This window comes from Homo sapiens, chromosome 7 (genome assembly GCF_000001405.40).
Source record: "Homo sapiens chromosome 7, GRCh38.p14 Primary Assembly".
Classification (NCBI taxonomy): domain Eukaryota; kingdom Metazoa; phylum Chordata; class Mammalia; order Primates; family Hominidae; genus Homo; species Homo sapiens.
In genome coordinates, this window is record NC_000007.14 from 154,443,694 (window position 1) to 154,469,533 (window position 25,840).

Here is a 25,840-nt window from a genome sequence, read left to right on the forward strand (position 1 = left end):
ATGGATGGATGGATACGTCGACGAATGTGGATGGATGGATGGATGTGGATCACTGGGTAGAAAACTTATTCTTCTTAGAGCAAATGGTTAATTGTGAACATGCTTTTCCATTTTAATGGATCTCCAAAGTATGCATGTGGTAACGGAATAGGGAATATGTTATAGCCTCACTTTCACCATGCTAGGCAAAAAATGTCTCATTCTACTGAGAAATGCACTACTGACACTCAGTGTGCCGGGGGACAACCTAGTGACTTCTCTTGACTTTCATGGAAAGCAGAATCAATCCTACTCGAATTTTCAACAGTTCAACTCCTGCAAGTTAGGAGGAAGTCTGAATGTGGGGAGCCAAATTAGATGTTCAAAGAAGCACATATTAGCTTGCATTCTAACTTGAAAACTGCATCTATGCTGTGGTTGTACCCATTTAAAAATTAAATGTGCATATAGACCAGAAATAGAAAACAATATGAAAAAGGCTTGGCCAGGCGCGGTGGCTCACGCCTGTAATCCCAGCACTTTGGGAGGCCGAGGCGGGCGGATCGCAAGGTCAGGAGATTAAGACCATTCTGGCTAACATGGTGAAACCCTGTCTCTACTAAATAGACAAAAAAAAAAAAAATTAGCCAGGTGTGATTGTGGGCGCCTGTGGTCCCAGCTACTCTGGAGGCTGAGGCAGGAGAATGGCGTGAACCTGGGAGGCAGAGCTTGCAGTGAGCCGAGATCGCACCACTGTACTCCAGCCTGGGCTGGAAAAAAATAAAAATAATTAAAAATGAAATAGAAACAATACTCAAAAGATATCAATTATTTGAGCTAATGAAGATAACATTAATTTTATCATTCTGGTTCATGAATAAGATTTGGTCTTGATGTTCTGTTTTTAATGGTTTCCTTGGAATTTCATCTTAACAGCGTTTGAGGAATGTCAACTGGGCTGTGAGAAATTGCGTGCACTAGGTTGCTTGTATGAATAGTACCACTGAAAGATTCCTGCTAGTCACAGACTTGATGAAAAGGGCTTATTTTCTTTCTGAATTCAGGTGAAATGAAAAGCTGCTGAATTAGCAAGATCTAATTACTTATCCTTGGCCCTGGCCAGTGATTTTCTCCCAAAGAAAATACTACCTAATAGGAAATGAGATTGAATCAGTGTAACTTTCTGTAGCTGTTTTGTTGCTCACGGATAGTCTTACTTTTTAAGTTCTAAAAAGCTACTCTCTGTAGATGAATTAAGTTATAGATGGCAAATATGAAGACTTGTAGAAATTCTAAACCACTGTAGAACTCTTTCCTACTAAGCCTATAATGGCCCCATGAATTTTTCTTAATTTAATAACAAATATAGCCAATATTAAATATTTTGGATGATATTGCATATTGTCTATTTTAGTTTGTAGCAATTTGACACATTCTAAAGAACTTTTAATCTTTGATGAAAATATATTTATGTATTGCATTGTCTACTTTTTAAGGCCGTCTTCATTCTACCTCATTTTGGCTTGGTTACTAAGTTGCAGTTATGTGCACTATAAGAGTGTATTCTCCAGACTATACATGGACAGAAGTGGTCCCTTTGCAGTGTGACCATCTGTCCTTATTTGTTCCTGTATAATTAATAATAATCCATGTGTAACTATTATATTTATTACTTATTATCAAGCATTCATATGATCCTTTTTGTCTCTCAAAGAATCACAGTTTCGACTAAAAGTTATATGATTCCTCTAATTTGCACGGAACTGAAAACTTGGTCTCAGCAGCCAGTACGCGTGATGAATTTCCTAGACTTATGTAGTCTTTAGCACCCTTTAGCAGTGTCTCCAGAGTCCCTCTCTCACCTGCCACTCTTGCTGCAGTGCAAGAGGGTTCTCTGGAAGGGACTGAAACCTAGAATAAGGATAGGTGAGTTGCCCAGTGAAGAGAGACCAGGAAAATCTTGAAACCTTGAATGAGGAGCTATGGAAAAAAGAAAAGCCTGAAGGCAGTGCGATGGGCAGAAGTTGGTGAAAATTGGCACATAGCATGTGCTAAATAAATATTTAAATTTGGTACCCTGAAATAGAAGTTGATCACATGGATGTAAAAAAAAAAAAAGGGAATGATGACAGAGGACTTGGAGCTGAAAAGTTTAATCCTAGTTGGGTTGGATTCAATGAGGGTAAGGAATTTAGCTGTGAAGAAGGAAAGCTCCAAGATGACCCTATACTGCAGAGTCTGGTTTATTGGGAGGAGGAGCATTAGGTTTGCACAAAAGCTGCAAACATAATAATATCAGATTCTTTCTTGAGGTAACATTTGGCCATAGTACAGGAAAATGACAGCCGAAGGCTTTGGGCCACTGAAGGCAGAAGGGTGCAGAAGGGTACAAAAGGGAACTAATAGTAGCTTCAAGAATGGGAAGATGCCTCTTTCACTGTTTTGTATCTTGGTTCTTGATTTAAATGAAATATGTCTATTTGGCTTATTTTATTTCCTTATTTCACTCACTGGGGTTTTCTTTGTTGTTGCTGTTTTTAGGAGCTGGTGGGGAGTAACCCTCCGCAGAGGAATTGGAAAGGAATAGCAATTGCACTGCTTGTCATTCTGGTCATCTGCTCCTTGATCGTCACCTCGGTCATACTTCTGACACCAGGTACTGTATTCATTCTTGGAAAAGCAAGTCGCTGTCAGAGAGAAAGAGCATAATTTTACCTTGCAATTTTTTTCTAAGTAACTACCTATTACATAATTTATTTTTCCCAAGTTCTAATTCTCACTATGCCATATGATATAATATGGTTTCAATTTTAAAAATTCATTTTATATGTTTTGGATTTGTTCACAAAGTTGTTTACTACGTGGAAATGCTTGGCATATATTAAAATTACTTATACAATCACTTATTCATGCTTGATCAACTTAAAGACAGTGGCATAAATATAATGATTTTATATATTTCATAGAATTCCTGGACATTATATCAAGGGTGAATTAAGAAAATTATTAAAACAACATATGTTGAGTGTGAACTAAGGAGAAGGTGCTAAATAGGTACTACTGAATATTACATAAAGTATAAACCAGTGTCATAAATCTCTCAGGAAAGAAAAGACACTAAAATCCACAGAAGAAACCTACAACAAATACAGATATATACATGCACTATTGAGTAAGCCAAAGAGAAGTGCTATTGGAGTTGAGAGGAGAAAGAGAAATCTTTCAAAAGAAAGTTCATGGAGAAGGTAGTACGTAAAGTGGGCTTAATGGAGTAATGGTAGGAATTTAGTAGCCAGAGAGTGGTAGGATTAGGGAGAGAAGAAAGCCTTTGCCTATAAAATAATAATATAGAGCTGGACATGGTGGCTTATGCCTGTAATCCCAGTACTTTGGGGGACTGAGGCGGGTAGATCGCCTGACATCAGGAGTTCGAGACCATCCTGGCCAACAGGGTGAAACCTCGTCTCTACTAAAAATACAAAAATTAGCCAGGCGTGGTGGCAAGTGCCTGTAATCCCAGCTACTCAGGAGGCTGAGACAGGAGAATCGCTTGAACCTGGGAGGCAGAGGTTGCAGTGAGCCATGATTGCGCCATTGCACTCCAGCCTGGGCAACAGAGCAAGACTCCAACTAAAAAATAATAATGATAATATAGGAGTTATCATAGAAAAACATTGTGGCCATAGATAAAACAGTATGTAACTGTTTTATCCGTTCTCATGATCATAGTAGATGCCTATTTGTGCAGGCAAAAAAGTTTTAATTCTCAGTAAATACATACACAAGCATTAGACCTTAAGATGAAAAAAAGTAGATATTATAATATAAAACCTTTTTCCACAGGTACAACAAATGTGGGCAAATTATAATCCAGGCTTAAACTATTACCCCAAAATCTAAATGAGAAAAGGACGATCTGTACCCTGATACCAAACTAGATAAAGATATCACAAGGAAACAACATGCCAATACCCCTTATGAAAATAGATATAAAACTCTTCAACAAAATAGTAGCAAACTGAATCTAACTACATGTAGAAAGATTATACACCATGACCAAATAGGATATATTCCAGGAAAAACAAATTGGCTTGTATGAAAATCAATCAATGTATTATACCTACATTAATAGAATAAAGGGCAAAAAGCACATGATCATCTGAACAGACACAGAATAAGCATGTGACAAAATCCAAAAACCATTTCCTGACAAAAGACTCAACAAGCTAGGAACAGGAAGAAACATCTTCAACTTGACAAGTATCTGTGAAAAACCCAATAGCTAGCATCATACTGAAGAGCAGAAGACTGAAATCAGTCCGCCTAAGACCAGGAGATGGTAGACAAGGATGTTCATTCCCAGCATGGCTATTTAACATTATATTGGAGGGTCTAGCCAGGGCTATTAGGTAGGAAAAACAAAAACAAAAACAAGGACAACCAGATAGGAAAGAAAGAAGTAAACCTGTCTCTATTCATAGAAGACATAATGTTGTATATAGAAAATCTTAAGGAATCCACAAAAAAACCTATTATAATAATAAATGAGTTCAGCAGGAAGGAAGATTTCAGACCAAAATGCAAAAATCATTTGCATTTTTAGCCACTAGCTATGAACAATCCCAAAATAAAATTAAGAAAATGATTCCACTTAAAATAGTTTCAAACGGAATAAGATACTTAAGAATAAATTTAACAAAATAAAGAAGTATAAGACTTGTGTACTAAAACTACAAAACAAAATGGAAAGAAATTAAGACCTAAGTAAATGGAAGTATATCTTATATGAATTGATTGAAAGACTTCATATCATTAACATGACAATACTCCCTAAACTGATGTGCAGATTCAACCAAATCTCTATCAAAATCCCTCTTTCTTTCTTAAAGAAACTACAAGTTGATTCTGAAATTCATATGAAAATGCAAAGGACTCATAATAGTCAAAACAATCTCAAAAAACAATTCAAAGACTTATACCTCCTGATTTTAAAACTTACTGTAAAGCTACAGAAATCAAAACAATATGGTACTAGGATAGGTATAGACATATGGATCAATGGAATAGAATTGAGAGTTCAAAAATAAACCCATACATCTATAGTCAATTATTTTTTGACAAGGGAGTCAAGACCATTCAATGAGGAAAGAATAGTCTTTCCACCAAATGGTGGTGGTACAACTAGATATTCACCTGCAAAAGAGTGCAGTTGGACCCCCAACTCGTACCATATACAAAGATGAACTCAATGTGGACCAAAGACCCAAAATATAAGAGCTAAAGCTATAAAACTTTTAGAAGAAAACATAGGGATAAATCTTTGTGACTTTGAATTAGGCAATGGTTTCTTACATGTGACAACAAAAGTGCAAGCAATCAAATAAAAAATAGATAAATTGGACTTCATCAAACTTAAAACATTTTGTGTATCAAAAACACTATCAAGAAAGTGAAAAGACAACCCACCGAATGGGAGAAAATATTTGCAAATCAGGTATCTAGTAAAGGTCTAGTATCTAGAATATATCAACAACTCTTGCTTCTCAAAACAAACAAACAAAAAAACAAATAATTCAATTTAAAAATAGGCAAAGGATTTAAAGAGACATTTCTCCAAAGAAAGACAAATGGCCAAAAAGCATATGAAAAGATGCTCAACATCATTCAGCCTCAGGGTGAATGAAAATCAAATCACAATGAAATACCACTTCACATCCACTAGGATGATTATAAGAACCAAACACAAACAAAAAATGGAAAATAGTAAGTATTCCCAGGATATAGAGAAATGGGAACCTTCTTACATTACTAGTAGAAAGATAAATTGTGTGGCCTCTGTGGAAAATAGTTCAGTAGTTCTCCTAAAAGTTAAACACAGAGTTACCATATTACCTAGTAATTCTACTCCTAGGTATAGACTCACGAAAACTGGAAACATATGTTCATATAGAAACTAGTACATGAGGTTCATAACAGCATTAATGATAATAGCCAAAAAAGTGAAAACAACCCAAATATCTATTTCCCAGAGAATGGATAAATAAATGTGATGTGGCGGGGCGCGGTGGCTCACACCCATAATCCCAGCACTTTGGGAGGCCAAGGAGGGTGGATCATGAGGTCAGGAAGCCGAGACCATACTGGCTAACACATTGAAACCCCATCTCTACTAAAAATAAAAAAAAACTAGCCAGGAGTGGTAACACATGCCTGTAGTCCCAGCTACTTGGGAGGCTGAGGCAGGAGAATCACTTGAACGTGGGATGGTGGAGGTTGCAGTGAGTTGAGATCGTGCCATTGCATTCCAGCCTGGGTGACAGAGCTAGACTCCATCTCTAAATAAATAAATAAATAAATAAATAAATAAATAAATAAATAAATAAATGTGATGTAACCATACAATGGAATACTCCTCCACTGTAAAAAGGAATGAAGAGCTGATCCATGCTGTAACATGAATTAACCCTGGAAACTTCACACTAAGTGAAGGAAGGCTGGCATAAAAGGCCACATATTGTATGATTTCAGAATAGGCAGATCCCTAGAGATAGGAAATAGATTTGTGGCTGCTGTAAGGTAGAGGTAGGGAGAAAATGAAATGATTGCTAATAGGTATGAAATTTCTTTGAAGGGGGATGAAGAAATTATTCTGGAATTTGATAGTGGTGATACATGTATGACTCTGTTAATATTATATATTTTAAAAACACTGAATTGTATACATTAAAAAGATGAACTTTATGATATGTGAATTTCATCTCTATTAAGCTATGAGTTTGATAAAAAGATGGGAAAGCTGTTGGGGGAGAAAAGTGTAACCTGGCCACAAAAGTGCCAGACATACTAAATTGCCTTAAAAACTTGTGTAACTCCAAAGAGGCTTCAGGAGCAGTTCCGGGAGAGAGAGCGTTGCAGTCTCCTGCGTGAGCGAGCTTCGTGAATGGAGCACAGTTGCCTGGAACAATCAGGCTGAGGATTCAATCCAGTGCTTCAATGCCCAGGAAACAGATCCCTGCACCTGCTGAAATCAGATGACCAGGGTTTAGAGGGGCTGGGGGAGGAACTGCAAAGCCAATCCTTGTTTTGTTTTATGGTGGTGGTGCTGATGATCTCACACAGCTGGGGACTTTAACCACTACATATTTCTAACGAATATAGAGGAAGTCAAGTTTTCCTCAGGGTCTGTGGAGCATGTGTTTCTGCCTCTACTTTTCTTTGAGCAGAATTGTGCTTTGTGTAAGAACATGATTACTGCAGATTCGATCTTGTGGTTGTCTGGCACTCCCTTTGGGACTTGAAAGCAGTGGTGTCTAGGGGTTTGCAGTTACTCCCACCTTCCAAGGTGCATGTGAACTTTCATGTCACCCCGGTCCAAGGGCTGTCACGAGTGTCACTCAAGAGTGGAATAAGGCCGGTGTGGTGGCTCATGCCTGTAATCCCAGCACTTTAGGAGGGCGAGGTGGGCAGATCACGAGGTCAGGAGATCGAGACCAGCCTGGCCAACACAGTGAAACCCCATCTCTACTAAAAATACAAAAATTAGCTGGGCTTGGTGGCAGGTGCCTGTAATCTCAGCTACTCAGGAGGCTGAGCAGGAGAATGGCTTGAACCCAGGAGGCAGAGGTTGCAGTGAGCCGAGATCGCGCCACTGCACTCCAGCCTGGCAACAGAGCAAGAGCCTGTCTCACCAAAAAAAAAAAAAAAAAAAGTGGAATTAAATGGCTGCCCGGAGCTTCTTACACCGAAATGTCCACAGCAGCAAAGCGGGTTGAGAACCAGGTCCTGGGACCCTGTCCTCCAAGCTCAACTCCAGGCCTGGCAAGCAGTAGCCCTGCGTCTTCTCCACGCACAGGGAGTGGCGGCAGGCCTCCTCCCTCCAGCACAGCAGCTGACCCTGCCAGCATCTACATTCAGTTCTTTTGCAGCCAAGGCAACCACAGCAGCCTCCCCTCTGCAGTAAACAGAGGATGCAGTTGCTGGGAACTCTTCTCCCTCCATGCTGACGGCCAGTTGTCAGGGGCAACTGCTCCTGGAGAAGCTCTAGTGAATGGCTGAATTCCAGAGAAGGCTTTGGAGGGGAATTTGCTTTTCTTGTTCCATCACAATACACATGCAGCTGAGCCTTGCTTCACCTTTTGGTTCTGCTGGGCTTTCATGGGTGCTGTTTGTTTCTCTGGGCTGTGCTGCCCTGGGATGGGGTGTCCAAGGTTTAGGCCTCTCCCACAGGGCTGCACAGCAAATGTTGCACCGCTGCTCCCGCACCGAGGCCTGACTGCATCCACTCTCCTGCAATACAGCAATGGCTTGTGTTTTGGCATAAAATTCCATCAGGCAGAGGAGGTATCAAATCATTCAACCTGCCACTAGCTCCAGAGCAGTGTCAAATTCACTAATGTACAGAGCAGTGTCACCTCGACAGAGAATGCCTGCCAACAGAGCCAGCATGAATGATCCCGGCTAGGAGCTGAGAACTCCATGCTAAGTGCCAGACAGAATGTGGAAAGAGAAGATGCCAGTACTTCCCATGAAGCTTAGAGTCCACGTAAAGACAATGCATGTGCAAGGAGAATTCCACAGTAGTGTTATCATTAAGTAAAAATAAAAGTCAAAGGCAGGGTGTGGTGGAGGCCTGTTGAGTTGTGTAGATAGTGGAAATGCTGACCTAGAGGGCTGAGATCCTCGCCAAGGCAGGAGTGGCTTCCACCGGTGAAAGTGAAAGATGACAGTCAGTCTTCAACAGTGGAGAATCCAAGTCGTAACCGTCACACTTCGCATATGTTTGCACACAGTGTTGAGTGCGTTCCTACCCAACATTGCTTCCATTTTGGTAGATTTAGTTAGAAATTGTAATATGTGCTTTTTTAAAAAAATAGTATTTTTCAAGTACTACCAGTCTTGTATTCTGGTTTATTGCAACTCAGAGTACAGTATCTGCTTTCTACTTAATTAGAAAATCCATTCTGAACTCACTTGATTCAGTCGTTTTGTGAAAGTGGTTCCTGGTACCCAGGGGCCCCTTGCCACCCCTGTGAGAAGAATCTCATGCGCATGGTGGAGTGCCCTCCTGATGACGCAGACCTGGAAGGGCCTCATGGTAATCACTCTGAACAACAAGGCATCTTGTCCTGGAGTACAGTCTAATTATCACCAGTTATGCACAATTGATGTTTTAGAAATCAAATTAAAAGTGTTCAAGGTGATCTTAGTTCCAAAGGGATTTACCAAGTGAGAATATGTCCCTTTCAATGTTGTCATTCATATCTCCCTTGCTGGTCCATGCTCTTTTCTAAATTTCTTCTCTTTGGAATAATAGGCTCAACGTTACATTTTTTATTTTCAATATTAAATATGTATCTGTCTACAATAGGCCATGCACAGCGTATGCCTTTTGTTAGCAGCTACAGTTCCCGCATTCTGATGGAAACACCGTGACCTTCTCCGGTGCCACAATCGCTGACGTGGGGGTCGGAAACTCCAGCAGGATCGGATTTGCATGAAAACATCCCTGACAATTGGCTTTTATGGAATCTCACATTAGAGCAGGTGGACAGTGGTTTATGCCGGAAACACTAGAACACTTTTAGGTGGTACATCAATGAGAAGCCTTGAATAATTCAAAGTCATAGTGAATGGAGGTTCTGGGTTAAGGCCAAGCACAGGTTATCAGAACACAAGACTCGTCAGTCTTTTGGGTAGAAACGTAACATAGAGATTACTTTTACGGAATTAAAATGTCATCACTGTTTAATGTCTGTGACCGCATTGCCAACCCTCACCTTATCTTTTTAAAATTCTTGAACAAATAATTTCAAAACATTTTATTGAAGAAGGATATACATATAGGATATATATTATATATTTAACATAAATATTATATAGATATTAAATATATAAATATAAACACATGTGAGTAAGCTATTGTTGAATTTTGATGAATTTTAAAACCAAACTTGATTCTGTAATCAGCATCCAGGCCAAAAAAGCAGAATGCAGCCAGCATCCGGAAAGCCCCCCAGGCCCTTCCTATCATTAATCCTCTCAAGGGCAACCTCATTTCTGACATCACAGAGTAGTATTATGAGTTTTTATATTCTTTGCATTTATGGCATAAATGTAATCATCTGGTATGTCTACTTTTATGCCTGCTTTTGTTCTATATGTTTGTGAGATTCATAGTTGTATTTTAGATTGTACTGCTACCCAATTTTTAACCTATATTGGATTATCTTATCATAAAGTCCCACATAATCTCAATGAAAATTGCAAAATAGCTTAACAGTCATTTAATAGCTTTTGTGTGTATCATAAAAAGTAATGCATACCTCCTAATTTTTTTTTGTCTTGTAGAAATAGATGGCTTGCTCCGTATCTTTTGGGCATTTTCTCTCTGTTAGGGCTCCTATATTAAATTCATTCCACAAATTCAATCTTGTTATATTCCATCTACTAACACTGACCATGGCCCAACCCATTTCATCATGGGAAGCACAGGTGGCTTGAGTGGGTTCTGGTATTGTTCATTTGCCCTGGGGCATCTGCTCTGTGAGTCCTGGGCTCCTCCGTGCCTGCTCACACCCATCTGCAGCGGACTGACTGGATTGGGGATGGTGTCTACTCTGATCATGAAACACAGAGTTGTTTTGGCTGCTGCCGATGCTACCACTGTTAATGTTTCTGCCCAAAGTTAACTTGTTAATACTAATCGAGACTGGGTGCTATAAATAGAGGCTGCAGATGATATTCATTATGATGGTCCAAAACATGGGAGAGGCCATTGAGAACAGGATACATTCCTGGAAGGCTTCGTGGAGAATGAGCAATTAGGGACTTTAAAAGATAGATCCAGTAGAGATGGAAGAAAACTGAGAGGGAAAGCCATGAGCCCTCGGGGGACAGAGGACAGTCTGGCCAGGAAGTTGTGGAGGGGCCAGGTGTGGTCAAGAGTTAAGGGAGAAGGAAAGGGATGGTAGCCAATGGGGAGAGCCTGGAGCGCACAGGGCCTGGATTTGAGACTGAACTCTAACTTCTCATACCGTTTACACCAGTGTCCTAACCAGTTTCAGAATCTGATGAAAACTGTAAGTCATCTTATCGTTGGAAGGAAAGAAAGGGCATTGTGTGCACATAAACATTTGGATATGTTGTATTAATATAACGTTTGCAAACCTAGTCAGTCCATCCCAGGGCCATCTCAGGGATCTGCTTGAGCGTTTATCCAAGGTCCAGGTGTTAAAGTTTGTCAGCCAAAATATTTTTGTCTGTGAGTAACAGAACAGCCAACTAAAACTGTTCCAATTGCAGGTGTCCGTATTGTTTCACAAGACAAGTTTAGACATAGCCAGTCCAAGGCAGATTCAGTGCTCGTGGATATTGTCAAAGTCCAGGTGGGCTCCATCTCTCTGCTGCCATCAGTATGTCGACAACATGGTTGTGACGGCTTCATGCTTCACTCGCCCACACGCACAGGAAGGGATGGACACATAGAACTTAGCTTGTGCATCTCACTTCCTCTGTCATGGAGGAAATAGTTTTCTGAGTAGTTCCTTTCGGTTCCCCGGAGCTGCGAGGAGACAGCTTATTTGCTGTAACCATATTGCATGGCTACCTTCACTGGAGGGGGTTGGCAAAGCCCGCCATTTGTAGGAGTCAGGCTCTGCTGAGTCAGAAGAAGGCAGAGAGGCACTGGCTCTTGGGGAAGCAGCCTTCAGTGTCCACCACCACGAGCAAGACCCCTTGATTTGTGAAATCCTTGAGGAATGTGGTCTACATTCCTTGAACATGACCAGTGAATTTGAGTCATTCTTTAAATTGAAACAAATCTTCTCCCTCCAAAAGGAGGGAGTTCTGACAGATTCTCATAGAAGAAATAATTAGGTTACATTGCTACTAACCCTATAGTGAGTTGCAAACTTGCAAACTACTGAAAAGTGGGTCGCTGGGACCATCTTAACCGTCTCTCTTTTGATTTCCCATCATTAATTCTAGAAGGACTACTAGGTGCATCTCGCTTATTTATGGAGTCCTTACACTAAAGAGCCATTTTTCTAAAGGATGGCAGTAGATGCTTATTATTCACACTCGTGTTAAGACTATAAGCTAAGGCAAATGGGTCTACATATTTATCTATAAATGGACACTTTTCAAGTGTTGCTGCATTTTGCATCCTATTTTAAAGGCAACCATGAAAATGAGTAAATCTTATGCTGGGACCCTGGTTTCCTCTGGAGTCTCTTGCCTGCTATAGATGAGTGCCTCCTGGTCAGCTTCAAATTAATTTTGGTGGCCTTAAGGACCATATTTTTACAAGCAGCTGGCTCCTATATTAGTTGCTAGTTTAGTGAAGACTCTGGCAGTCCAGAACCAAAGGCAGCAATTCAGGAGTTTAAGCAGAGTTACCATACCATGTCAGGGTCAGGAACACAGAAAGCTGTGATATAATAAAATCGGAGAACTGGAGAGCAATTCTGTAAAATGAACTAAGCAGGTCGGGGAACTAGGAAGATGAAATTCCAGATTGAAATGGTTCCAAATTCTCTGAACTCTTCACCTTAAGCCCTGCTTGGACAACCATTGATCACTTCTGCAGAAACAGTATATCCATGCACTTTCTCAGATTGCTACTTCATAATCCTCAAATCCCAGATATTCTAAATTGACTCTGTGCATTTAAGTATGGTATTAAAATCACCAGAAGTTCAGTTAAGTGATAATTTGCAGGACCTCCCATTTAATCAGTCTCTTTCTTGCTTTTCCCCTACTCAGATTCTTCATGTCTTTCTTTTTCATTCAGTAAATGTATGATCATTGCAGCCTCAGAGGATGCCTTCTAAAGTGGTGGGTTGGTTGGAAATGGGAGAAAGGCCTTGAAGGATGCGGTAGGCTAAAAAATGCGCCCCCCCCACCAAAAAAAAAGTCCAAGTTGTAATCCTTGGATCCTGTTAATGTTTTCTTTTATGGCCAAAAGGGGGCCTTTTGTGGCTACATTAAGCATCTGAAATGGAGGATTACCCTTAGTTATCCAATGGAACCTCAATGTGATCACATGTGTTCTTATAAGAAGGAAATAAGAATGCTTGTGATTTTTGTACATTGATTTTGTATCCTGAGACTTTGCTGAAGTTGCTTATCAGCTTAAGGAGATTTTGGGCTGAGACGATGGGGTTTTCTAGATAAACAATCATGTCGTCTGCAAACAGGGACAATTTGACTTCCTCTTTTCCTAATTGAATACCCTTTATTTCCTTCTCCTGCCTGATTGCCCTGGCCAGAACTTCCAACACTATGTTGAATAGGAGTGGTGAGAGAGGGCATCCCTGTCTTGTGCCAGTTTTCAAAGGGAATGCTTCCAGTTTTTGCCCATTCAGTATGATATTGGCTGTGGGTTTGTCATAGATAGCTCTTATTATTTTGAAATACGTCCCATCAATACCTAATTTATTGAGAGTTTTTAGCATGAAGGGTTGTTGAATTTTGTCAAAAGTGGGCGAAGGACATGAACAGACACTTCTCAAAAGAAGACATTTATGCAGCCAAAAAACACATGAAGAAATGCTCATCATCACTGGCCATCAGAGAAATGCAAATCAAAACCACTATGAGATATCATCTCACACCAGTTAGAATGGCAATCATTAAAAAGTCAGGAAACAACAGGTGCTGGAGAGGATGCGGAGAAATAGGAACACTTTTACACTGTTGGTGGGACTGTAAACTAGTTCAACCATTGTGGAAGTCAGTGTGGCGATTCCTCAGGGATCTAGAACTAGAAATACCATTTGACCCAGCCATCCCATTACTGGGTATATACCCAAAGGACTATAAATCATGCTGCTATAAAGACACATGCACACGTATGTTTATTGCGGCACTATTCACAATAGCAAAGACTTGGAACCAACCCAAATGTCCAACAATGATAGACTGGATTAAGAAAATGTGGCACATATACACCATGGAATACTATGCAGCCATAAAAAATGATGAGTTCATATCCTTTGTAGGGACATGGATGAAATTGGAAACCATCATTCTCAGTAAACTATCGCAAGAACAAAAAACCAAACACCGCATATTCTCACTCATAGGTGGGAATTGAACAATGAGATCACATGGACACAGGAAGGGGAATATCACACTCTGGGGACTGTGGTGGGGTCGGGGGAGGGGGGAGGGATAGCATTGGGAGATATACCTAATGCTAGATGACACATTAGTGGGTGCAGCGCACCAGCATGGCACATGTATACATATGTAACTAGCCTGCACAATGTGCACATGTACCCTAAAACTTAGAGTATAATAAAAAAAAAAAAAAAGAAGGAAATAGAGGGAGATTTGACACAGACGAAGGAGGAAATGGCAAAGTGACCACAGAGGTGGAGATGGGAGGGATGTGGCCACAAGCCCAGGAATACTGGCAGCCCCCAGAGGCTGGAAGAGACAAAGAACAGATGTGATATGGCTTGGCTGTATCCTCACCCAAATCTCATCTTGAATTGTAGCTCCCATAATTCCCATATGTCATGGGAGGGACCCAGTGGGAGGTAATTGAATCATGGGGGTGGGTTTTTTGTGCTATTCTCATGATAGTGAATAAGTCTCATGAGACCTGATGGTTTTATAAAAGGCAGTTCCCCTGCACATGCCCTCTTGCCTGCTGCCATGTAAGATGTGCCTTTGCTCCTCCTTTGCCTTCCACCATGATTGTGAGGCCTCCCCAGCCATGTGGAACTGTGAGCTCATTAAACCTCTTTTTCTTTATAAATTACCCAGTCTCAGGTATTTCTTCATAGCAGTATGAAAATGGACTAATACAAGATGCTTCCCCAGAACCTCCAAGAGCGTGCAGCCCTGCTGACACTTGTATTTGGGCCCAGTGAAGCTGATTTTAGACTTCCAGTCTCCAGAACTGGGAGAGCATACTCTTCTGTTGTTTGAAGCCATCAAGTTTGTGGTCATTTGTCACAGCAGCCACAGGAGGCTAAAATAAAGGGAGATAAATGGCATTGCCACTTTTACGGTGGCCATGTCTTACAGGCAGGCAAAAGAATGCACTTGTGGAGAGATCAGAACTAGAATGCTTAGAAGCCATGTGCCAGCCCTTGGAAGACCATGAACTGGACAACAACTGTGCCACGCACTGCCCTGTCTGCTCCTTCCTGCCATTCACAATGGGAGTCCATGCTGGGCTCCTAGCTCAGCTCTCTAGGGGACAACCCTGAGTTTCAAAAGGTGGTTCTTTACCATCTTCACCACAAAGAAAGGAAATGAAATTCTTTCAAATTGAGATGTATTTTGATGTTTTTCAAAATTTGAGAGAAAGAGGAAGGAAGAGGAGAGGAAGAGGAATAGGAATCTCCAGTATTGACTTAATTCTTCTTATTTTACATACATTCAATTAAACAGATTTAAGCTCCACTTACAGTCTATGTTATTAAATTTGTCGAGATGGGAGATGAAATGCAGATTAAAAAAAAGAAGCCAATGAAATTCAGATTAAAAATATACATTGTATGTGACAGATAATGATAATTTCTGAGACTAAGTAACCCCTTACAATGTGTAAAGGTGTTTGCTACGTGTCACAGGTATTTTGGGTTTAGCATGCCTATTCTCGTAGGCATCGGGTGAAGAATTGTTCCACCCATTATTTCCCTATTGGGAGCACACTACACCTGTGTTTACACAGCAAGCCAGTCATTTGGGAAGGTTAAATTATTAATAGCTGACCTTGGTGTTGGTACATCATGAAGACACATACCGATTCAGGCTCTCAATTCAGGTATGAGTATATGTTTATGATCAGAACATGATTTTATTAATTTTATTGAACAAGTAATATGTATAAATAGAAAAACAGTAGAAATATATTAAATTGGCTGGGCATGGTGGCTCATCCTGTAATCTCAGCACTTTGGGAGGCCGAGGCAGGCAGATCACCTGAGGTCAGGTGTTTGAGACCACCCTGGTCTCCGTATCTGCTAAAAATACAAAAATTAGACAGGCGTCATGGCGCGTGCCTGTAATCCCAGCTACTTGGGAGGCTGAGGCAGGAGAATTGCTTGAATCCGGGAGGCTGAGCCGAGATCATACCACTGCACTCCAGCCTGGGTGACAGAGTGAGATTCCATCTCAAAAAAAAAAAAAAAAAAAGAAAAGAAAAAGAAAAGAAAAGAAATATTAAATGAACAATAATAATCCTTTTATAATTATTTTCTCATACTGTCAGTTCTACAACCAGTCCCTAGATACTGTCACTTTCCACCATTTCTGATTTAAGTCTTCTGATATTTATTCATGTGCTTTTTTTTTTTTTTTTTTTTTTTTTGAGACAGAGTCTCATTCTGTCATCCAGGCTGGAGTGCAATGGCATGATCCTAGCTCACCACAACCTCTGCCTCCTGGATTCAAGTGATTCTCCTGCCTCAGCCTCCCAGGTAGCTGGTATTACAGACGTGTACCACCACACCTGGCTAACTTTTGTATTTTTAATAGAGACGGGGTTTCGCGATGTTGGCCAGGCTAGTCTTGAACTCCTGACCTCAGGTGATCCACCCGCCTTGGCCTCCCAAAGTGCTGGGATTATAGGCATGAGCCACCGTGCCTGGCCTTATTCATGTACTTTTTAATATCATGCTGATATGTCAATGTCCACAGACTACCGACTACGAAGGTCAAAATTTAGCTGCTTTACATTTTCTCCCACTTCCGTCTCTTCACTCTGAGTTACAAAACCTATAATGCTATTTCAAGTCCTCTATAGATGTGTTTCATAACCACGTGGGAAAATTTTTTCATGTATAAATTTCTTGTTCCATTGATTCTAAATGCGCCTCTTGACTTGTCACTAGATAATATGGGAAAGAAGCATGCTTAAAAGACTTTCTTCTCAATCCCAGCTTCCTACTCTTTCTCTTCCCTTTAAGTAATATTTGCAATATTTTTTTCACTTTAATAAAATCTCTCATCAAATAATAAGTTGGTTTTTAAAATCAAAAACACATTTACAACATTCACTATTTCATTTTTTAATTTTTAATTTCTGTGGGTACATAGTAGGTATGTATATTTATGGGACACATGACACATTTTGATACAGGCATGCATGAAATGATAAACACACCAGGGTAAATAGAGTATCCATCCCCTTAAGCATTTGTCCTTTCTTTGTGTTGCAAACAATCCAATTATACTCTTTTAGTTATTTAAAAATGCATAATAAAGTATTATTGACTGTAGTCACATTGTTATGCTATCAAATAGTAAATCTTACTCTTTCTAACTCTATTTTTGTACCCATTAACCATCCCCCTCTGCCCACCCCCACCATCCACCACTACCCTTCCCAACCTCTGATAACCATTTTTCTACTCCCTAGCTCCATGAATTGTTTAATTTTTGGCTCCCACAAATAAATGAGAACATGCCAAGTATGTCTTTCTGTGCCAAGTTTGTCTTTCTTAGATTATTTCACTTAACATAATGACCTCCAGTTTCATTCATGTTGTTGCAAATGACAAATCTCATTCATTTTTTTGTGGCTGAATAGTACTCCATTGTGTATACGTACCATATTTTCTTTATCCATTCATCTGTTGATGGACACTAGGGTTGCTTCCAAATCTTGGGTATTGTAAACAGGTCTGCAACTAACAAAGGAGTGCAGGTGTCTGTTTGATACACTGATTTCCTTTCTTTTGGGTACATACCTAGCACTGGGATTACTGGATCATATGGTAACTCTGTTTTTAGTTTTCTGAGGAACTTCCAAACTCTTCTCCATGGTGGTTGTACTAATTTGCATTTTTATCAACAGTGTATGAGGGTTTCCTTTTCTGCATATCATTGTCAGCATTTGTTATTGAATGTCTTTTGGATATGAGCCTTTTTAACTGGGGTGAGATGGTGTCTCATTATAGCTTTGATTTGCATTTTTCTGATGATCAATGATGTTGAGCACCTTTTCATATACCTGTTTACCATTTGTATGTCTTCTTTTGAGAAATGTCTACTCAGATCTTTTGCCCATTTTTAATTGGATTATTAGATGTTTTCCTATAGAGTTGTTTGAGCTCCATATATATTCTGCTTGTTAATCCCTTGTCAGATGGATAGTTTGCAAATATTTACTCCATTCTGTGGGTTGTCTTTTAACTTTGTTGATTGTTTCCTTTGCTGTGCATTTTAACTCAATGTGATTCCAATTGTCCATTTTTGCTTTGGTTGCCTTTGCTAAATAGGGTATTACTCAAGAAATTTTTACCTAGTACAGTGTCCTGGAGAGTTTCCCCAATTTTTTTTTAAGTAGTTTCATTGTTTGAGGTCTTACATGTAGTCCTTTAATCCATTTTGATTTGATTTTTGTATATGGTGAGAGGGAAGGGTCTAGTTTTATTCTCCTGCATATGGATATCCAGTTTTCCCTTCAACATTTATTGAAGAGACTGTCCTTTCCCCAATATATGTTCTTGGCAATTTTGCTGAAGATGAGTTCACTGTAGGTATATGGATTTGTTTCTAGGTTCTCTATTCTGTTCCATTGCTCTATGTGTCTGTTTTTATGCCAGTACCATGCTGTTTGGATTACTATAGTTCTGTAGTATAATTTGAAGTCAGATAATATGATTCATCCAGTTTTGTTCATTTTACTTAGAATAACTTTGGTTATTGTGGATCTTTTGTGATTCCATGTAAATTTTAGGATAGTTATTTCTATTTTTGTGAAGAATGTCATCAGTATTTTGATAGAGATTTCATTGAACCTGTAGACTGCTTTAGATAGTATGGAAATTTTAACAATATTGATTCTTATAATCCATTAACATAGAATATATTTTTATTTTTTATGTCTGCTTCCATTTCTTTCATCAATCTTTTATAGTTTTCATTGTAGAGATCTTTTACTTCTTTAGTAAGGTTAATTCCTGGGTATTTTATTTTATTTGCAGTGATTATAAATTGAATTACTTTCTTTTTTTAAATTTTATTATTATTATACTTTAAGTTTTAGGGTACATGTGCACAACGTGCAGGTTTGTTACATATGTATACATGTGCCATGCTGGTGTGTTGCACCCATCAACCCGTCATTTAGCATTAGGTATATCTCCTAACGCTATCCCTCCCCCCTCCCCCCACCCCACAACAGTCCCCGGTGTGTGATGTTCCCCTTCCTGTGTCCATGTGCTCTCATTGTTCAATTCCCACCTATGAGTGTTTTCAGATTGTTCACTGCTGGCATATAGAAATACTACTGATTTTTGTAGGTTGATTTTTGTAACCTGCAACTTTGCTGAATTTTTTTATCAGTTCTAATTTTTTTTAGTGAAATCCTTAGGTTTTTCCAAATATAAGATCATATTATCTGCAAACAAGGATAATATGGGCAGGTCGAGAAATATCATCCAAGAACCAAGGCCTAGAATTGGGGACCCCAAGAGCCCACTTAGTACCCTGCCGCTTTGTGGCTGAGCTGGTACCTAAGTTGCAACACAAAGTGCTTTTTACCTTTACTTCTCCTTTTCTTTTTTTTTTTTTTTTTTTTTTTTTTTTTTGAGACGGAGTCTCGCTCTGTCGCCCAGGCTGGAGTGCAGTGGCACGATCTCGACTCACTGCAAGCTCCGCCTCCCGGGTTCACGCCATTCTCCTGCCTCAGCCTCCCGTGTAGCTGGGACTACAGGCGCGCGCCACCACGCCCGGCTAATTTTTTGTGTTTTTAGTAGAGACGGGGTTTCACCGTGTTAGCCAGGATGGTCTCGATCTCCTGACCTCGTGATCCGCCCGTCTCGGCCTCCCAAAGTGCTGGGATTACAGGCGTGAGCCACCGCGCCCAGCCTACTTCTCCTTTTCTTAAGCAGAAGAAGTCTCTCCCTGTAGCCCCACAGCTGGGAATGTCCTGGGTCACACCTGAAGCCAGCCTGTCTCTGAGTCTTACCCAAGACCCTGAGCAAGTACTGCCTGAGTACCACTGCTACTGATTATTTAGGGCCCAAGGGCTCCTTAGTCAGCAGGTGAGGAATCCTGCCAGATTGGGTTTTTCCATTCAAGGCAGGCACAGGGTATGTTTAGAAATGTCATCCCAGAGCTAGGACCTGGAATGAGGGCCTCATGACTCTTCCTGGTGCTCTATTCTACTGTGGCTGAGCTGGTATCCAAGTTGCAAGACAATTTCCTCTTTTCTCTTCCCTCTCCTCTCCTCAAGCAGAGGGAAAGAGTCTCTCCTAGAGCTGCAAGCTGTGCTGCCTTGGGTTTGTGAAGAGGTGATGCAAGCACTCCCTTGGCCACCCCAGCTGCTGTCTCACTAGGTTGTGTGTCCCCCAAGTGTACTGGCTCTGAGCCAAGAACAGCACCAAGACTTGCGCAGGAATTGCAGTTCTTGCGGCCTAGACTGCCTTTCAAGTTATTTTAGGACCCCAGACCACTTTAGCCCACAGTGGTGAGGCTTGCTGGAGCTCAGGTTCCCACTGCTGGGATATGCAGTTCCCGAATGGCTAGGGCTGGTCTCAGTGCTCCGTCCGTGGGAATTGACTGAGTTCTGCCTAGCGTTGCTTTACTCTGTGACAAAGCAACACTGAGTTTCAATGCAAAGTCCCACAGTCACTGCATTCTCCCTGCCCCAAGCAAGCAGATTCTCTGCCACACAACTGCTGCCAGGGGATGAGGAAGGGGAAACTCAAGACTGTCTTTCCCACTCTCTTCAGTGCTACTTCAGTGATATGAAGTCAAAACCAGATACTGTGATCATTAATCTGATTTTTGGTTCTTTACGAGCTGCTTTTTCCTGTGAATAGTTGTTCAATTGGTGTTCCTATAGAGAGGATGATCAGTGAAGGCTTTTATTTGGCCATCTTGCTCTGCCTCCTTTCAAAATTCACAATTTTATACTTAAACAAATATTTCTGTTGTAAATCTGAAGCCATAGAGAGAGGAAAAAATATATAATCCTGTGTAACTGAACAACTTTTCTTGAGGCATTCCAGTCAAGTGGACTTTTCTTAAAATTCATTAATAGTTACAATTGGTCTATTGATATTGGGACCATGACTTACTTAAATAAATTGGGTTTTCTCAATAATTTTATTGGATTATTTCTACTTGAAATAAACTGTCCTTGTTACAGACAAAATGAATGCCTGCACAAAATATGCCAAAATAATATATGTATAGTAGTTCCCCTTATCTACAGAGTATCCATTCCAAGAACCCCAGTGGATGCCTGAAACCATGGATAGTGCTGAATCCTACTTATACTATGGGGTTTTATTGCACATGTATACCTACGATAAAATTTAACTTATAAATTAGGTGCAGTCAGAAATTAATAATGATAACTAGAAATAAAGGAGAAAAATTATACCAATATACTGTAACAAAAGTTACATGAATGTGTTATCTCTCACTCTCTTTCAAAATAATCTCAATATTTCTAGACCATGGTCAACTGATGGTAACTGAAACTGTGGAAAGCAAAACCATGGGTAAGGAGGGGCCTACTGTAAGTAAGTTTAGAAAGGTTACAGAATGCAAGGTCTATTTACACATATTAATTGCATTTCTATGTACTAGCAACACACAGTTGAAAAATTTTTGAAAATACAAATTTTATTAGTCAGCTTGAGCTGTCAACAAAATATGCAGACTGGGTGATTTAGAAAACAGAAATGCAACAAAAGCCAAAATTGGCAAGTGGGATCTAATTAAACTAAAGAGCTTCTGCACAACAAAAGAAACTATCTTCAAGAGTGAACAGGCAACCTACAGAATGGGAGAAAATTTTTGCAATCTATCCATCTGACAAAGGGCTAATATCCAGAACCTACAAAAAACTTAAACAAATTTACAAGAAAAAAACAACTCTATCAAAAAGTGGGCAAAGGATATGAACAGACACTTTTCAAAAGAAGACATTTATGTGACCAAGAAACATATGAAAAAAAGTTCATCATCACAGGTCATTAAAGAAATGCAAATCAAAACCACAATGAGATACTATCTCACTGCAGTTAGAATGATGATTATTAAAAAGTCAGGAAACAACAGATTCTGGAGAGGATGTGGAGAAATAGGAACACTTTTGCACTGTTGGTGGGAATGTAAATGAGTTCAACCATTATGGAAGACAGTGTGTTGATTCCTCAAGGATCTAGAACTAGAAATACCATTTGACCCAGCCATCCCATTACTGGGTATATACCCAAAGGGTTATAAATCATTCTACTATAAGGACACATGCACTTGTATGTTTATTGCAGGACTATTCACAATAGCAAAGACTTGGAACCAACCCAAATGCCCATCAATGTTAGACTGGATAAAAAAATGTGGCACATATATACCATGGAATACTATGCAGTCATAAAAAAAATGAGTTCATGTCCTTTGCAGGGACATGGATGAAGCTGTAAACTATCATTCTCAGCAAACTAACACAGGAACAAGAAAACAAATACTGCATGTTCTCACTCATAAGTGGGAGTTGAACAAGGAGAACATATGGGCACAGGGAGGGGAACATCACACACTGGGGCCTGTCGAGGGGTGGGGGGCAAGGGAAGGGATAGCATTAGGAGAAATATCTAATGTAGATGATGGGTTGATGGGTGTGGCAAACCACCATGGCACATGTATACCTATATAACACACCTGCACATTCTGCACATGTATCCCAGAACTTAAAGTGTACTAAAAAAATAAATAAATGCAGAATTTCATTTCTCACACTTCTGGAGGCTGGAAGTCCAAGATCAAGGTGTCAGCAGGGTTGGTTTATGGTGAAGTCTCCCTTCCTGGCCTGCAGACCGCACCTTCTTGCTGTATCCTCTCCCTGCTTTTTCTCTGTGAGTGCACATATGTGTGCCTGAAGAGAGGAAAATAGAGCTCTTGTTTCTCTTCCTCTTTTTTAAGTACAGTAGTCCTACCAGATTAGAGCTTCACCCTCTGATCTCATTTAACTTCAGTTTCTTCCTTAAAGGCGCTATCTCCAAATAGAATCACATTGGGGGTTAGGGTGTCAACATATGGATTTGTTGGTACGTACAATTCAGTACATAATACCAGTGCACGTGGACGTCTTTGGGATGGCCCTGTCTTACCTAACACAGTCTGTTCTCTGACCCGCAAAGATTCACATCCTTCTCATATATAAAGCACATTCATTCACTCTACCCCAAGGTCCCCAGAAATCTCAACCTATTATAGTATCAACTCAAAGTCTGTGATCTCATCAGTTCAGAACTCCCAAATTTTAACACTGAAATCATCTGAATGAGTTTTGAGTAGGCCTCAGGGCATACTCCACCCAAAGCACAATTCATCTGTACTGTGGCTCTGAGAAACTGGAGAGGTAAACACAGTAGTGGGACGGGTATAGGATGACAGTTATAGACATTCTTGTTCAAAAAGGGAGAAAAAGGAGTCACTAGTTCCAAACAACTTCTAAATTCAGTTGGGGAAACTGCATTAGGTTTATAGGCTTGGGAATAGTATCCTAGGGCTCTCAGGTCTGCCCTCTGGGAGTCATCTTTCTTCTTCATGAATGGCAGCTTGAGATTGTAGCTGAGTAGTTTTATAAGCATGTTTTCTGCCTGAGAATTTTGGGGGTCTGATATGGTTTGGCTCTGTGTTCCCACCCAAATCTCATGTCAAATTGTAATCCTAACGTGTTGAATGAGAGGCTGGTGGGAGGTGATTGGATCATGGGGCTGGTTTCTAATGGTTCAGCACCATCCCCCTAGTGCTGTCTTGTGATAGAGTTCTCACAAGATCTGGTTGTTTAAAAGTGCGTAGCACCTCCCTCTTTGCTTTCTTTCTCTCCTGTCACCATGTCACAAAGGGTGCTTGCTTCCCCTTTTCCTTCTACCATGATTGTAAGTTTCCTGAGGCCTCCCCAGCCATGCAGAACTGTGAGTCAATTAAACCTCGTTTCATTATAAATTACCCAGTCTCAGGTAGTTCTTTACAGCAGTGTGAGAATGGGCTAATACAGCGTCCAACAGCCTTTATTTGTTTCATACTCCCTCTCTCCTTTTCAGTCCAAGCTGGCAATGTTTCTACAGATATAAATTCTTAAGAATCTGCGGATCTTCTATGTATGTCATGGGAATTCATTCCATTAGACAAGTGGCTCTTCCTAGGATTCTTCTAGATACTTTCATCTCTATGTTTGCCTTCTGCTGAGAGAGGTTTGGGGTCTGTGAATCACACATTTAAGCTCTTCAAAGGGCCTTTTGTGTGACTGAATACTTACCTTTTGATCTTTCAAGGTATTAGCAAAGGTTTTTCAGCCATGCTCTCAGGATGGCAGTATCTTTCTCGACAGTGAATCTCTTAATTTCAGCATTTTTTATAATCTGAATAAAGTGACACATTTCTCCAAAGAAGATATAAAAATAACCAGTCAGTGCATGAAAAGATGCTCAACATCATTAGCTTGTAATATTATTCATCTATAAAAAGGAATGAAGTAGTGGTACATTCTGTACGTATTACAACATGGATGAACTTTGAAAACACAATACTATCTGAAATAAGCCAGTCACAACAAAATGCATATTGTATGATTCCATCTACATTAAATGTCCAGAATAGCCAAATGTTTAGAGACAGAAAGAAGATTTTTGGTTGCGAAGAGCTGAAGAGAGATGTGGGAGAATAGAGAGTGGCTGCTAATTGTTATGCTAATCTTTTGGGGGTAATAAAAATGTTCCAAATTTAGGTCAGTAATGGTGCACAACTCTGAACATACTAAAACCATTGTGTTGTAGACTTTAAATGGCTAAGTTTTATGGTATGTGAATTTTATCTCTAATAAAGGTGTCAAGAAAGGAATAAACTAGGTAGGGAAACATATCAACCTATCCGCATATAATCATGTGAAGTCACAGGTGCCTAATGCGGTAACTCACTAAAGAAAACAGGCTGCTGAATATATTTTAAGGTTTCAGTTTATTTCCTGGATCTAAAAGAATGGAGGTAAGGACATGAAGAGGGAATGTATACCTTTGATGTATTTGATTTAGAAGCTTAAAATAAAGCATAACTACAATTTCTTAGTTCATAAGATGTGCTGAATAATGCTGATGACTTAGTTTCTACCATTTCAATAAAAAGTATTATGTGACTAATTTTGATGTTATGCTACTAGTTTTCTTAGACTATTTGAAGACATGTGAATTTGTAAGGAGAAGCTTTTAAGATAAATTAGTATCTCTGTGAGACTTTTTATAGACATAAGTCTGGAGTATAACCATAAATAATATACTTTAGTAACACAAAGACTGCATTACAAAAAAGTAAGCGAAAATACAAGCAAAGGCACAGATTTTTAAAACAAATGCTCTCTTCATTCAAAAGAAATGAACTGAACATCTGTTTGCTGGGCCCCTTAGAGACATGAAGTTGCGATTCCTAACTAAAACAGAAAAGGAAAATATCAAGCTAGTATGGGAAATAGACTTGAAAGCAAATAACTAGTTCATTGATAGTAGCTCCTGGTAGCAGAAAAGAAAGCATGATCAACTTTGAGAAAGTAAAACACACACACACACATTGTAAAGAGGTACTGACTGTACATTTTCTTGTAGCTCCTCTAGCATCACTCAGGTAAGATTATTTAATGCAATTCTCATCCCAACAATAGTTATTTTGTTTCTTACATTTGGGGTTGGATGACTCTAGAGAGATTTCTTCAGAGAAATATGTTTTTGTGTATTTTGAGTAAATCTCACTTTTGTAAAGAGAGAGAGTGTTCCCCTGACTCACAGCTGCTGCCACGGCTTCCTTCCGTCTCTAGGGTTTTTGTGTATGGATGAGATGTTACCATCTCAGCTCTGACCTATGGATTCATATGGTGAACAATCTGCCA

At 39.8% G+C, this 25,840-nt stretch overlaps 1 protein-coding gene across 14 annotated transcripts in view; it reads left to right on the plus strand.

The window, feature by feature from the left end:
* DPP6 (dipeptidyl peptidase like 6) overlaps positions 1 to 25,840 on the plus strand; it is a 1,146,153-nt gene that overhangs the window by 695,561 nt on the left and 424,752 nt on the right. For all 14 annotated transcript variants that reach the window (NR_157195.2, NR_157196.2, XM_047419951.1 and 11 more), the window contains one exon: positions 2,521 to 2,635. Coding sequence is in view for 12 of the 14 variants with exons in the window: in XM_047419951.1 (XP_047275907.1) it covers positions 2,521 to 2,635 (115 nt within the window). In the remaining 2 variants the exon portion in view is untranslated. The remainder of the gene's footprint in view (positions 1 to 2,520; positions 2,636 to 25,840) is intronic.